The 15,552-nt window shown below is 40.1% G+C and overlaps 1 long non-coding RNA gene across 1 annotated transcript in view, besides 1 other annotated feature; it reads right to left on the bottom strand.

Moving 5' to 3' along the window:
* Positions 1,134-2,333: an enhancer, noted in NCBI's record as "CDK7 strongly-dependent group 2 enhancer chr8:126691873-126693072 (GRCh37/hg19 assembly coordinates)". NCBI's record gives its function as "activates an origin of replication core promoter dependent on BRD2, BRD4, P300/CBP, MED14 and CDK7 cofactors, with strong dependence on CDK7, by STARR-seq in HCT116 cells {active_cell/tissue: HCT116}" and the evidence as "EXISTENCE:reporter gene assay evidence [ECO:0000049][PMID:35650434]".
* The window catches only part of LINC02964 (long intergenic non-protein coding RNA 2964), a 160,228-nt gene continuing 146,503 nt past the window's right edge, over positions 1,828-15,552 (bottom strand). The window contains exon 7 of the long non-coding RNA XR_001746072.2: positions 1,828-2,029. This is a non-coding gene — a long non-coding RNA (long intergenic non-protein coding RNA 2964). The remainder of the gene's footprint in view (positions 2,030-15,552) is intronic.

The following is a 15,552-nucleotide window of genomic DNA, read 5'->3' as shown; positions in this document are numbered from 1 at the left end:
GAGCCTCAGTTTTTTCATCTGTAAAATGAGTATAGTTGAACCTACCTATCATGGTTGTAAGGGTTAAATGAATCAATTAATGTGTTAGTGCCTGAAACTTAACAAATGGACCCTGCCCCTCATGGGTGTCCTCCAACCAGCTAGGAGGAAAGGAGAGAGTGGGCATTGGCAATGAAAAGAAGGGTTTTTAAAAAATTAGATTAAATCGATCATGTCACTCCCTCTCTCAAATATTGTTGATGCCTCCCCATTGCCTGAACTCTTAGGCATGAAGTTCATGGCTCTCCACCTTCAAGCCCCAAACCACTTTCAGCCTTATTTCCCATTGACTTTTACCTTACCCTCTAAAAATACTGGTCTACTTAGCTATTTTCAAAATACTTTAAACCTCATCCCTCCTCTCCTATGATCTTCAGTTCAAATCAACATACACACATATTTATCTGAGATGCTTTTCTCCTATCTTGTCATTTTAGGCCCATGTTCTGACCTACCAGAGTTTGTGTCCTGAATCTGTCAGTCCAGATACTCAGCCTGTTATTTCTCTGTGGCACAGACAAGCTTAAAAAGCAGAGTGTCTCTGTCGTCTCTAAAACCATTATTTAAAGTGTTGAATGACACCAAACACAGAATGTGTTCTTAATTTCTTTTTTTTTTTTTTTTTCAGATGGAGTTTCGCTTTTGTTGCCCAGGCTGGAGTGCAATGGTGCGATCTCAGCTCACCACAACCTCCGACTCCCGGGTTCAAGCAATTCTCCTGCCTCAGCCTCCCAAGTAGCTGGGATTACAGGCATGCACCACCACACTTGGCTAATTTTGTATTTTTCGTAGAGACGGGTTTTTCCATGTTGGTCAGGCTGGTCTCAAACTCCCAGCCTCAGGTGATCTGCCCACCTCAGCCCCCCAAAGTGTTGGGATTACAGGTGTGAGCCACTGCACCCAGCCGATATCCTCTCTTAAGGTTCATGTTTATTTGCTAATCTTCCCTTTTAGGGTAGATCCTTATTCAAGTAGCTTAGATGTTTTATTATCTATCACCCAGGACCCCAATTTGTCCAGAGAATACCCCAACTTGTTCATAAAAATCCTCTTGAAAGCCATGCTGGAATCAGACACTCTGATCATGAGGCTATCATGGTACAACCAGCCTAATAACCGTATTTGAAAGAAAATGTGCTCAGCCTTAAGTGAAGTGGCTGATGCATTCGTCAGGATGGGGTAGACTGCTGCAGTAACCTATCAGTCAGGAAATCTCTGTGGCTTAACGTAATACAACTTTATTTTTCATGCACACAAAGACCAGGATGAGTCCAAAAATTTCGCTCTTGTATTTTATCATCTGGGATAGAGTCCTCCAAGGCTACCACAACAACAAAAAAGGAGAGGGCTGGGGACGCAAATCAGCAAATAATTCTGTAGCTCCAACCTGACTGCAAGGGCACCTATGACATGTCGGGGAGAAAATGAATATTTGGTGGCATTAGTCATCTCTGTCCTCACTGGGTATGTTTCTCTGTGTGATCTCATGACCATTTTTTTCCCTCTGCCATATTTAGAAACCCTGATCATCCACCGTAGCATATTCAGAATTTATGGAATCCTCCACACTGAAGTCTTTGGACAGATTCCATTAGCATCAACCACTAGAGTCATAAATGCCAGTACAATAACTTAGATGTTCCCAAATATTGCTTAAGAAGTCCCTTTCATGTCTTTGGAAAAAAAAAAAAATCGAATCCTCTGATCATCGCAGGATAAGAACACTCAGTTCCAAACTATGTGTTTGACTAAGTCTGATTAATGAATTTCTGAAGTTATTTTTGTTGATCCTCCCACCCTTGACGCCATAATTTGCCTGTGGCAACATGTGTGTAGATTAATGAGGCTTTCAGCAGCTAGTGGAAAAGTGTTCATTACCTTAATTATCCATACCTTCAGATTGAGGGCAACGCGGGACTGTCAGGACAGAGCAGGGCGTCTGCGCTGGGGAAGAGCGCCTGCGCGGTGCGGCTCAGCCAGGCCATCATCCCTGGAGAAGCAAAGCAAGGGCCTAGGTGAACAAAGTAGATGCACAGAAGACAAAATGACAAGAGAAGAATAAGTGTGATTACCTAATTGCATGCTGAATGTGCATGCGCTCATTGAGCACCTAGCATAGGTCAACCCACAGTAGCCTGCTTGATCCTCATACAATTCAGGAACCAATCTGTCCTAAGTCAATGGGAATGGAACGGAAGAATCTTCATCAGGATCAAACAACAAAGCACAAGTCTATCCTACTCCTGGACTTATCTGATTTTATGTGTCAGTTCTGGTTGGCTCCCACTTGAACCTAGGTCTCAACGACACAGAGCCTGACAGTGTGCCTGGGCACCATGCGTTGCCTCCAATGGCCCTCATCCAGCTCCCCCAGGGATCTAATCCTACTTCTGATCCTAGCTGTGTGACGATCAAGCAGGCTACTGAGCCCCAGGCCCAAGGGGGAAGTTTCTCCTCCTTCTTCATGTACCCCTCTCACACCATGATCTCAGCCTGGTGCCTCTCCTCATCTCCTGGTTGCTGTGCTCTGCCCACTGGGACCAGCTTTTGCTCATCATCCTAATTGTGGAGCTTTCACCTTGGCTGTCACCACCCATTGCTCTTCAGTGGCTTATAGAGCTCCCTGCTAGACTGTCAGGGATAGAGATGGTCCTATGGGAGTTCATGGCACATAGGAGAGAAGACTGGTCCCAGAGAACAATCATTAGAGGAAAGATGGCTTCAACACCTTCTAAATCAGTCTTTCTCAAACTCACTTGATAGTAAGAATCACTGGAGACCGTCCAAAGATACAAGTTACAAATCCCCACGAAGAAAATCTGAAGTGAGGCCCACACATTTTCAACAAGCACCCAGGAGATGGTTATTATGAGGTAAGTTTAGAAAACACCAGGAAACAACAACGTGACTGTTGCAGTGACCATTGATTGAACTTCCAGAGGCTAGTCAAGGTACTGAGACATTTACATCTATTGACTCATTGAAGTATCTTATCAAACCTTTCCAGAGAGGTGCTAAATTCTCATTCTACTAATGAAAAACCCAGATCCAGATCCACTGACTAAGTGTTCAAAATCAGACATCTAGTAATCAGCAGAAATAGGATTCAAATCTTCATCTCCCTGGCTCCTAACTCACATCGACCTGTTACTGAAGGAAAGAGAATTTGTTACCCTAAGGAAAGAGAATAGGCCAGTGCTCTCTGAGCTATTTATAATCTGGCCCTATATCAATAACAAAATTTCAAGCATGCACCTCCAATATATGCCTGTGTATTTTTAATTTATGTACAGATACTATTACTCTATTATTCTAATATATGTCATACAATTACATAATAGTAAGTTTTAAACATTGAAGTCGAGATTAATTAAATAATTTTAATATTTATTTTATTTAGTAACACCTAACCAACTTTTTTGCTTTCCTATAAAAAATTTCAAAGAATAAAAATTATTTCAGCGAGCACAATGTGATTTTGAACATGCATTCCTTTTTTTTTCAATCTTGGTTTGATCTTCATGACATAGTAATTGATGGTTTGGTCCTAAATTTGATTTGTTCTGATACCTGCTTTTAATGGCTGTCATAGCTGGAAAAGATGTCTCAAAAAGATACATAGATCCAAATGAAAGAAATACAGCATTGTTGACCTATTCAGTCATAACACTTATTTTTTTATTTTTTAATTCCATCTACCAGTTAGGCAAAGGTCTTGGTGAAATTTGGCTAGTAAATTTCCAACTTTCTTGGTGACAATCCATTTTTCTCACAACTTATTGAAAAGTTTTAAAAATACTTCAATATGCACTGAAACATTTCATTTGGAAATTTAAAACAGGCTAGATTATTCTATTTCAATCTCTTCAGAAATAGAGATGTGGCTTATACACATTATGTTTAACAATGTTAACACAGAGACTGCTTCAAATCATCACTGCGCAAACCGTGTCTTCACAGAACAAGTGACTTTTTTTCTTTTTATTCAAGAATACGCACACAGAAAAGTGTACATGTAAGTGGACAGATCAACGTGAACATGCCTTGTTTAGGAAACAGATTAAGACACAAAACATTGTCTGCACCCCTAGGAGCCTCTCTCTATGCCCTTGCCAGTTCTTTTCCACCCAAGGACAACCACTATCCTAACTTTCAGATTAATTTTGCCTGAGTTTTCTTTTTAACCTCACGTAAGTGGAATCACACCAGACAAAACCTTTTGTTTGTGTGGCTCCTTTTTCTCAAAATCTCATTTGTGAGATGTGTCCCTATCACCAAGTATTGTTGTGGATCACTCATTCATGGAGTATTCTCTTGTGTGAATACACAACAAAAAGTTTATCTATTTTACCTTTGATGGGCACTTGGGTCATTTCCAGTGTTAGAGTATGAGGAATGGTGCTGCTATGAACAGTTTGGTGTCTTTTGATGAACATTTGTATGCTTTCTGTTGGTGTATACCTAGAATTAAATTGCTGGGTCATTGGGTTTTCTTATGTTCTGCCTTCCTAAATACTGCCAAACAGTTGCCTGAACAGGTTTTATGAATTGACACTTCCACCACTGTGGGATTTCTAATTGTTCCACATTCTTGTCAGCTCTTGGTATTATCTTTTTCATTTTAGCCATTTTGGTGCATACACAATGGCATCTCACTGTGGTTTACAAGTTTCTTCTGAAAATCAGTTACAATTTCACTCATTACTAACTCATGACATTTACCCTGATAGGGTAATTTAAATGTAGGTTTATGTTTTTTCAAATGTACCTGCTATACCTTATTCTTCACAGTCACTTATCCTTGAAAAGATCAAATAATTTGGAACCCATATTTTATGTTCACTTACTGTTTCAAATACTTTGCCAAAATAGAATGAGGGAATCTCTGCATGCACAAAATATTTCAGGTTTATTTCCTATCTAATTATAAAGTATTGTTAAGATTCTGCTATATTTTAAACATCTTGCCTCTATATATTGGTCCACATCAGTGACATCCTATTGTGCTCTATTCTCTTGTGACTTTAACTTACTTGCTTAAATAGCTTGATGTGGACAATGCAGTAAATAAATTTCACATGAGGTGCTAGCTCAGGAAACTTACCTAGTTTTTTCATCCCAGTCAACACAAATACCAAAAACATTGCTTTTGTTAAGAAACTAACTGACTATTGAGAATATTTCTTTCTGGTACATTTTTTCTTTAATGGCTCACAAGAAAGGGCCCTCCAATGTATTCCATTATTGAAAAGAAGAATCCAGCAATGACAAAAGCTGAAATATGTCAGAAACATCTGTACTTTTGAGCAACTGCATTGCAAACCTCTCACACTAAACTATTTGTTTTAATATTTGTTTCTTCAGCTCTTTGACAACAAGTTTGATGCATCTTCCAACAGTATTTAATGACTAAGGAATGTAGTTGTTAGGTATTTCTTCAACCATTTTCACTTATCTTTTCAAAGATAAGTGACTGTCAAGAGTCACAAGGATAAGTGACTGTCAAGAGCAATAATGTTTGGCCAATGGAATATGGCTATTCACTTTCACTGTTAAGTAATAAATTGAAAATTATCAAATTTAATCCAAATGTGTAAAGAGCTGGAGTGAGTGTCTCATGACTTTGAACAGTTGAAAAACCTTAGGTTTTTTAATGCTGGTCAATTGCAATGGCAATTCTCCTTAGCTTTATCAAGACACAATATTCACTCAGGAGAGCATCATCATGAATGATAATGAATATGAAAGGCCATATTTCAAATAGTCTTCTTAATAATTTTTGTCTTCTGACCAATTTTGTGATTGATGTCATTAGACTGCCATTAATTTTACCCTGTAATTAGCTGAAAAACAGCAAGCACTGGGAGCTGCAGGGGTATCAAGTCAGCCATTCTCCTGCTGTTTCCTTAGCCTCACATCATTAATATTATCTACAGCTTGCAATTTCTTCATGGAATCATTTAAATCACTTGTCCATTTTGTAAGAATTAGCTCAATTGAAATGAGATATCATGAGCTGCAAATCTACTTAACCAGGCACATAGACCTGCAATATATCACAAATAGGCTGAATACTTACAGGAGGCGCAAAAATTTCCATTTCAAAAAGACTCTCTTCACACTGAAGGATTTCTTTGAATAAGTGCTCCCCTGCCTTTCACCATGGGAGTCTCTCACAACAGCACTCTCAGAGCTTCTAGAAAGCATCTTGTCAGCTTCCTCATTTGACAGATGAGGAGCCAGAGACTCCCAGAAGAAGAGTGGAGGCTGTGTAGACTGTGGTTTAGTATACAGGCTCTGGCAATAGAGAACATGGGTTCAAATCCTGACGTCTGCTATTTCTTCTCTGTACATGCTTGAAAAAGTTGTTTTCTCTCTCTAAACTGGTTTCCACAGCTATATATGTAAACAGGACAAATGCTACTGTATGTAAATTTTAATTTAATAAACTCATCTTTAGAAGGAAGGGAAGGGAGAGGAAGGGAAGGGAAGGGAAGGGAAGGGAAGGGAAGGGAAGGGAAGGGAAGGCAAAGGAAGGGAAACCAGTCAGAGGTAGTGTCTCTGTCTTATCTCTGTATACCTGATGTGCTTAGCAGAGTGCAAGACAGAATAGATGTTTAAAAGTTTAAGTTATTACTGATTATAGTGGGTTGAGTGGTGGCCCTAAAAAGGTACATCCCAATCCCTGGAACCGTGACTATTGAGAATATTTCTTACTGGTACATTTTTCTTTTAATGGCTCACAAGAAAGATTCTGCTATATGACTGATAGAGTTTGGATATTTGTCCCCACAAAATCTCATGTTGCATTTGTAATCTCCAGTGCTGGAGGTGGGGCCTGGTGGGAGGTGTTCGGACCATAAGGGTAGAACCCTCATGGCTTGGTGCTGTCTTCGTGATAGTGAGTTCTCACAAGATCTGGTCATTTAAAAATGTGTAGCACCTCCCCTGCCCCCTGACACCTCTCGTGCACCTGTCCACTCCATATAATGTGCCTGCTCCCCCTTTGCCATCTGCCATGATTGGAGGCTTCCTGAGGCCTCCCCAGGAGCAGAGGCCACTAGGTTGCCTGTGCAGCCTGCAGAACCATGAGCCAATTAAACCTCTTTTCTTCATAAGTTACCCAGTCTCAGATATTTCTTTATAGCAATGCAAGAACAGACTAACACAATGACTTTATTTAGAAAAAGGGTCTTTGCACATGTCATTAAGTTAAGGATCTCAAAATGAGAACATCCTGGCTCATCCAGGTGGACCCTAATTCCAATGACAAGTGTCCTTGTAAGAAACAGAAGAGAAGAAGCCATACATAGCCACACAGAGGAGAAGATGTATGAAGATGGAGGCAGACATTGAAGCGATGGAGCTACAATACAAGGAGTGTCAAGGATCGCCAGAGTCACCAGAAGCCTCAGAAGAGGCAAGGCAGGATTCTTCCTTAGAGCCTTCAGAATGAGCACAGCCCTGGCCATACTTTGATTTCAAACTTCTGGCCTCCAGAATTACGAGAGTATAAATTTCTGTTGTTTCCAGCCAACTAATTTATGGTAATTTGTTACAGGACCCCTAGGATAATATTACTGGTCCTTTTGGCTTCTCCTAATCATAAAAGATTTGCTCTTTCTTCAAAATAGACCATATGATAGCCCATAAAACAAGCCTCAATAAATTTAAGAAAATCGAAATTGTATAAACCACTCTCTCAGACTACAGTGGAATAAAACTGGAAATCAACTCCAAAAGGAACCTTCAAAACCAGGCAAATACATGGAAATTAAATAATCTGCTCCTGAATGAGCACTGGGTCACAAATGAAATCAAGAGGAAAATTAAAAATTTCTTCAAACTTAACGACAATAATGACACAACCTACAAAAACCTCTGGGATACAGCCAAGGCGGTGCTAAGAGGAAAGTTCATAGCCCTAAACGCCTACATCAAAAAGACTGAAAGAGCACAAACTGACATTCTAAGGTCACACCTCAAGGAACTAGAGAAACAAGAACCAAACCAAACCCAAACCCAGCAGAAGACAGAAAATAACCAAGATCAGAGCAGAAAAAAATGTAATTGAAACCAAAAAAAAAAAAAAAATACAAAAGATAAATGAAACAAAAAGCTGGATCTTTGAAAAGACAAATAAAATTGATAGACCGTTAACAAGATTAACCAAGAAAAGAGAGAAAATTCAAATAACCTCACTAAGAAATGAAACAGGAGATATTCCAACTGACATCAATGAAATACAAAAGATCATTCAAGGCTACTGTGAACATCTTTATGCACATAAACTAGAAAACCTAGAAGAGATGGATAAATTCCTGGAGAAATACAACCCTTCTAGCTTAAATCAGGAAGAATTAGATACCCCAAACAGATTAATAACAAGCAGCGAGATTGAAATGGTAACTAAAAAATTACCAACAAAAAAACCTCCAGGTCCAGACAGATTCACAGCAGAATTCTACCAGACATTCAAAGAAAAATTGGTTCCAATCCTTTTGATACTATTCCACAAGATAGAGAAAGAAGGAACCCTCTCTAATATATTCTATGAAGCCAGAATCACTCTAATACCAATACCAGGAAAGGACATAACCAAAAAAAGAAAACTACAGACCAATATCCTTGATGAACATAAATGCTAAAATTCTTAACAAGATACTAGCTAACCAAATACAACAACATATCGAAAAGATAATCCACCATGATCAAGTGGGTTTCATACCAGGGATGCAGGGATGGTTTAACATATGCAAGTCAATCAATGTAATACACCACATAAACAGAATTAAAAACAGAAATCACATAATCATCTCAATAGATGCAGAAAAAGCATTCGACAAAATCCAGCATCACTTTATGATTAAAACCCTTAGCAAAATCAGCATACAAAGGACATACCTTTATGTAATAAAAGCCATCTGTGACAAACCTACATCCAACATAATGCTGAATGGGGAAAAGTTGAAAGCATTCCCTCTGAGAATGGGAACAAGACAAGGATGCCCACTCTCACCACTCCTCTTCAACATAGTACTGGAAGTCCTGGCCAGAGCAATCAGATGAGAAAAAAATAAAGGGCATCCAAATTGGTAAAGAGGAAGTCAAACTGTCACTGTTTGCTGATAGTATTATCATTTACCTTGAAAACCCTAAAGACTCCTCCGGGAAGCTCCTAGAACTGACAAAAGAATTCAGCAAAGTTTCCAGATACAAGATTAATACACACAAATCAGTAGCTCTTCTATACACCAACAGCAACCAAGTGGAGAATCAAATTAAGAACCCAACCCCTTTTACAATAGCTGCAAAAATAAAATAAAACACTTAGAAATATACCTAACTAAGGAGTTGAAAGACCTCTACAAAGAAAACTACAAAACTCTGCTGAAAGAAATCATAGACAACACAAACAAATGGAAACACATCTCATGCTCATGGATGGGTAGAATCAATATTGTGAAAATGACCATACTGCCAAAAGCAAACTATATATTCAGTGCAATCTCCATCAAAATACCACCATCATTCTTCACAAAATTTAAAAAAAAAATCTAAAATTCATATGGAACCAAAAAAGAGCCTGCATAGCCAAAGCAAGACTAAGCAGAAAGAACAAATCTGGAGGCATCACACTACCTGATTCCAAACTATACTACAAAGCTACAGTCACCCAAACAGCATGATACTGGTATAAAAATAGGCACATAGACCCATGGAACAGAATAGAGAACCCAGAAATAAACCCAAATGCTTACAGCCAACTGATCTTTGACAAAGCAAACAGAAACACAAAGTGGGGAAATGACACCCTTTTCAACAAATGGTGCTGGGTTAATTGGCTAGCCACGTGCAGGAGAATGAAACTGTATCCTTATCTCTCACCTTTATACAAAAATCAACTCAAGGTGGATTAAGGACTTAAACCTAAGACCTGAAAGTAAAAAATTCTAGAAGCTAACATTGGAAAAACCCTTCTAGACTGTGGCTTAAGCAAGGATTTTATGACCAAGAGCCTAAAAGCAAATGCAATTAAAAAAAGATAAATAGCTGGGACCTAATTAAACTAAAGAGCTTTTGCACAGCAAAAGGAACAGTTAGCAGAGTAAACAAACAACCCACAGGGTGGGAGAAAGTCTTCACAATCTATACATATGACAAACGACTAATATCCAGAATCTGCAATGAACTCAAACAAATCAGCAAGAACAAAATAAACAATCCCATCAAAAAGTGGGCTAAGGACATGAACAGACAATTCTCAGAAAAAGTATACAAATGGCCAACAAACATATGAAAAAATTCTCAACATCACTAATGATCAGGGAAATGCAAATCAAAACCATAGTGCGATACCCCCTTCCTCCTGCAAGAATGACCATAATCAAAAAATCAAAAAACAGTAGAAGTTGGCGTGGATGTGGTAATCAGGGAACACTTCTACACAGCTGGTGGGAATGTAAACTAGTACAGCCACTATGGAAGTGGAGATTTCTTAAATAACTAAAAGTAGAACTACCATTTGATCCAGCAATCCCACTACTGGGTATCTACCCAGAAGAAAGGAAGTCATTATACGCAAAAGATACTTGCACATGCATGTTTATAGCAGCACAATTCACAATTGCAAAATTGTGGAATCAACCCAAATGACCCTCAATAATCAACGAGTGGATAAAGAAACTGTGAGATATATACACACACACACACACACACACACATATATATGATGGAATACTACTCAGCCATAGAAAGGAATAAATTAACAGCATTTGCAATGACCTGGATGGGACTGAAGACTATTATTTTAAGTGAAGCTAACTCAAGAATGGAAAACCAAACATCATATGGTCTCACTGATATATGGGAGCTAAGCTACAAGGACGCAAAGGCATAAGAATGACACAATGGGCTTTGGGGACTTGAGGGGAAGTGTGGGAGGGGGTGAGGGATATAACACTACAAACATGGTGCAGTGTACACTGCTCGGGGGATGGGTGCACCAGGATCTCACAAAAGAACTTACTAATGTTCTTACTCCACCACTAAAGAACTTACTCATGTAACCAAATACCACCTGTACCCCAATAACTTGTGGAAAAAAAATAAATAAATGAGTTAATATTTAAAAAAGATTTGATAGTATTTAATCCAATGATTTCCAAAGTTAACTTCTACAGAGGTTATAGAAACCTCTAATGTAGAAACAGGTATGGTACCTATTTTGTATTTGGAGGTTGAAGTATTCTGCTGTTTAAAAAAAAACAAAAACTATATTAAAAAATTTAAACAATGAACCTTAAATCTTATTCAACTCTAAATGTTAACATTGAAGGGCAGTTACACAATCTGTCCAAGTTCTCTTGCAAGCAAGAGACAGAGCCATAGTCAGCCATCCCCCCATCTTCTCACTGCCTATGCAGGGCTCTGCCTGTACACCAAAGAACCTCCAATAAAGAAATGTCCTTGGATGCCAAGCGCAGTGGCTTGTGCCTGTAATCCCAGCACTTTGGGAGGCGGAGGTGGGCAGATCACTTGAGGCCAGGAGTTCAAGACCAGCCTGGGCAACATGGCGAAACCCCATTTCTACTGAAAATATAAAAGTTAGCCAGGTGTGGTGGCAGGTGCCTGTAATCCCAGCTACTCAAGAGGCTGAGATATGATAATCGCTTGAAGAGGTTGCAGTGAGCCAAGATCGCACTGCTGCACTCCAGCCTGGGCAACAGAGCAAGACCCTATCTCCAAGAAAACAAAAAAAAAGAAAAGAAAAAAGAAAGAAAAACAAATGTCCTTGGAAAAGAAGAAAACATCAGTAGGACTCCCATTTCAGTAAAAGATAAGACAAAGATGCCCTTTAATATCAGTACTGCCATTCAGCATTTTCTTCTAAGATAAAGAAAATGGAAAAAAAAAAAAAAAAAAAAAAGAAAGGAGAATTCAAGGGTTTGAGTTTCGGGGGATGGGCAGAAGCTTGGGGAAAGTGCCCACTGGTCCTACACCTGTAAAGGCAGAACATCCTTCCTCCATGGGCTGACCGCTTAGCTCAGCCTGCTGTCACTTTGCAGTTCAACAAAAGTGAATTCCAACTGTAGCCCTGTTACTTCTAGCTGTATGACCCTCTCTGAGCCTCAGTATCCTGAGTACATGGAAACAAAGCTACTTTGCAGGGTTGATGTAAGACTTAAATGAAGGTGGTGAGACCTAAATGGGATGGCAAAGCCTAGCCATTCTGAGCCCAAATTCTGGAGCCAAGTTAGTTGATTTCTGCCTCTATGCTGGGGCAATTGACTTTAACCTCTCTGTGCCTCAGTTTCCCCGTCTGTAAAACAAGCATAATACCACCTACGTCAAAGGGTTTCTATGAAGGTTAGAATGAGCTAATATTCACTAAGTACTTAGAATGGTGGCTGACAGAAGAGTGCTATATGAGCATTCATTAAATTAAAAATTAACATGAGAAACCATCATTCTCAGTAAACTATCGCAAGAACAAAAAACCAAACACCGCATATTCTCACTCATAGGTGGGAATTGAACAATGAGATCACATGGACACAGGAAGGGGAATATCACACTCTGGGGACTGTGGTGGGGTCAGGGGAGGGGGGAGGGATAGCATTGGGAGATATATCTAATGCTAGATGACACATTAGTGGGTGCAGCGCACCAGCATGGCACATGTATACATATGTAACTAACCTGCACAATATGCACATGTACCCTAAAACTTAGAGTATAATTAAAAAAAAAAAAAAAAAAGAAAAATTAAAAAAAAAAAATTAACATGAAAATATTCCTTTAGAGGGGACTTGTGATTCAGAATTTGGTTAAAAAATAATAATAATAATTTTTTGCATCATAATTCATCAAAGTCAGTTTTAGCAAGAGAAAAATTTGTTTTTCTGACAGACCTCCACTCTGAAGATTTGGAAACTCTAAAAATCTTCTTTGCCTAACGCGGTATGGACAGAAAGTTTCATGTGCAAAGTAAAACCCTGAGGGTTTCCATGACTGGCTGACAGTCAGAGGGTTTACTTTCTCTGATGAATTTTTCCAATGTTATGAGCCTAAGTGAGGGCTGTGCGTCTATCAAGCCCCTGGCACTGAAGAGGTGTTGAGTAATTCTCTTCCTGTTTCCGCAAGCTTCCCTCTGAAGGGATTAGGATTATTCCAGGCCCAGGACCAGACATCCTCAGGCTATGGGCACATATCTCCCTGACTTGCATCTAATTCCTGTAAAACTAATCTGCAGGCCTCCAGCTCACAGCAGCTGATCTTGGAGTTCTCTCATTCCTGCAAAATAAGAAGTACCAAGTATGTGTCAGGCTCTCTGCTGCTAAGCGCCAGAAACACAGAGATGAACTCATGGGGAAATGAGATTAACAAACAGAACATTGCACGTACTGTTAGGTAGGAGCACAAAGGAGGCAATTCAGCTTCATGGGGGTAGAGGGGCAAGTATAGGACAATCACACGGCACCTGCTATGTGTTAAGCACAACTCCACACATCTCTGCTTATGAACACATTCACCTCTTGTATCCACTCTGTGAGGTAGGTGCTTGTATTAGTCTGTTCTCACATTACTATACAGAAATGCCTGAGACTGGATAATTTATTTTATTTTATTTTATTTTATTTGAGACAGAGTTTCACTCTTGTTGCCCAGGCTGGAGTGCAATGGCGCGATCTCCGCTCACTGCAACCTCTGCCTCCCGGGTTCAAGTGATTCTCCTGCCTCAGCCTCCCAAGTAGCTGGGATTACAGGCATGAGCCACTATGCCCGGCTAATTTTTTTTTTTTTTTTTTTTTTTGTATTTTTAGTAGAGGTGGGTTTTCTCCATGTTGGTCAGGTTGGTCTCAAACTCCCGACCTCAGGTGATCCGCCCGCCTCAGCCTCCCAAAATGCTGGGATTACAGGCTGAGCCTCCGCGCCCGGCCTAATTAATTTTTTTTAAAAAAACAAGAGGTTTAATTGGCTCCCAGTTCCTCAGGCAGTGCGGGAAGCATGAGTCTGGCATCTGCTTGGCTTCTGGGGAGTCTTCAGGAAACTTTCAATCATAGCAGAAGGTGAAGGAGAGCAGGCAGAAGAGAGAGAGCGGGGAAGTGCTACACCCTTAGTTTTAAGCAACCAGATCTCACAAGCACTCACTCACTATCACGAATGCGGCACCGAGGGGGGAATCGGCCCCCATCACCTCCCACCAGGTCCCACCTCCAACACAGGGGAGTACAATCGAACATGAGATTTGGGCAGGGACACAGATCCAAACCATATCAGTGGTATATCCCCAATTTATAGTCGAAAAACATGAAGAACAGAGATTAAATAACTTGCCCAAAGCCACACTACGGGTGGGGGAGAGAATCAATGCGCGTCCAGGCAGTGGGGCCCCAGACCCCATGTTGTCGGTCATCACACTGCCTCTTAGTTGGGGCTGAGGTGTCAGTTGCCTGGTGGCCCATTGCATTTCACCTTTGTGTCCCCAGTTCCTTCAACAATAGAAAAGAGCAGGATCTGCCCAGACGGCCAGTGCTGTATTCCTGCCAAGAAAGAGGAGCTGGCTGGGTGAGGTGGCTCACATCTGTAATCCCAGCACTTTTGGGAGGCCAAGGCTGGGGGATCACTTGATGCCAGGAGTTTGAGACCAGCCTGGCCAACATGTGAAACTCTGTCTCTACTAAAAATGCAAAAATTAGCCAGGCGTGGTGGTGCACACCTGTTATCCCAACTACTAGGAAGGCTGAGGCATGAGAATCACTTGAACATGGGAGGTGGAGGTTGTAGTGAGCCAAGTTCACACCAATGCACTCCAGCCTGGGTGACAGAACAAGACTCTGTCTCAAAAAAAAAAAAAAAAAGGAAAGGAAAGAAAAAGAAAGAGGGGCTAATCTTGCCCTCGGAGGGCTCTGTTGCTCAAGGTTATTGCTATATGCAGGGTGAAACTCCAAGGGACAGGCTTCAATGGTGCAAGTGTAAGTCACAGTCTAATTGGATCAGTTTCAGTCCAATTCAGTGTATCAAGGCCCAGTATGGTTATCTTATACCTGACATCACATTCCATATTCACACCAACTCTAGAGATGGGTGTGCATGTCTTCATTTCACAGGTAAGGGAAGGAGAGGATTTGAGAAGCCACATGCTCTGCTTAAATCAAACAACAAATAAGATAACTCTAAATCTCATGTCTTTTTCACTATGCACATTGGACCTGGAATCACTAGGAAAAAAAAAATCCTGGAAGCCAGATAATTCAGGGCTTCTATTGCATAAAAGAACCAAAAACTGAGGGCAAGGAATAATAAATAGTAACAATGATACCAGGCATGGTGGCTCACACCTGTAATCCCAGCAACTCAGGAGGCTGAGGCAGGAGGATCACTTAAGGCCAGGAGTTCCACAGGAGCCTGGGTGAAATAGCGAGACCTGGTCTCTACAAATACATATATACATATATACATATATATATATATATATATATATATATATATATATATCTCCAAATATAT

The sequence above is a fragment of the Homo sapiens genome, chromosome 8 (assembly GCF_000001405.40).
Source record: "Homo sapiens chromosome 8, GRCh38.p14 Primary Assembly".
NCBI classification, from domain to species: Eukaryota; Metazoa; Chordata; class Mammalia; order Primates; family Hominidae; genus Homo; species Homo sapiens.
The sequence above is the reverse complement of the archived record's forward strand: the minus strand, read 5'-3'. Positions and strand labels throughout refer to the sequence as shown.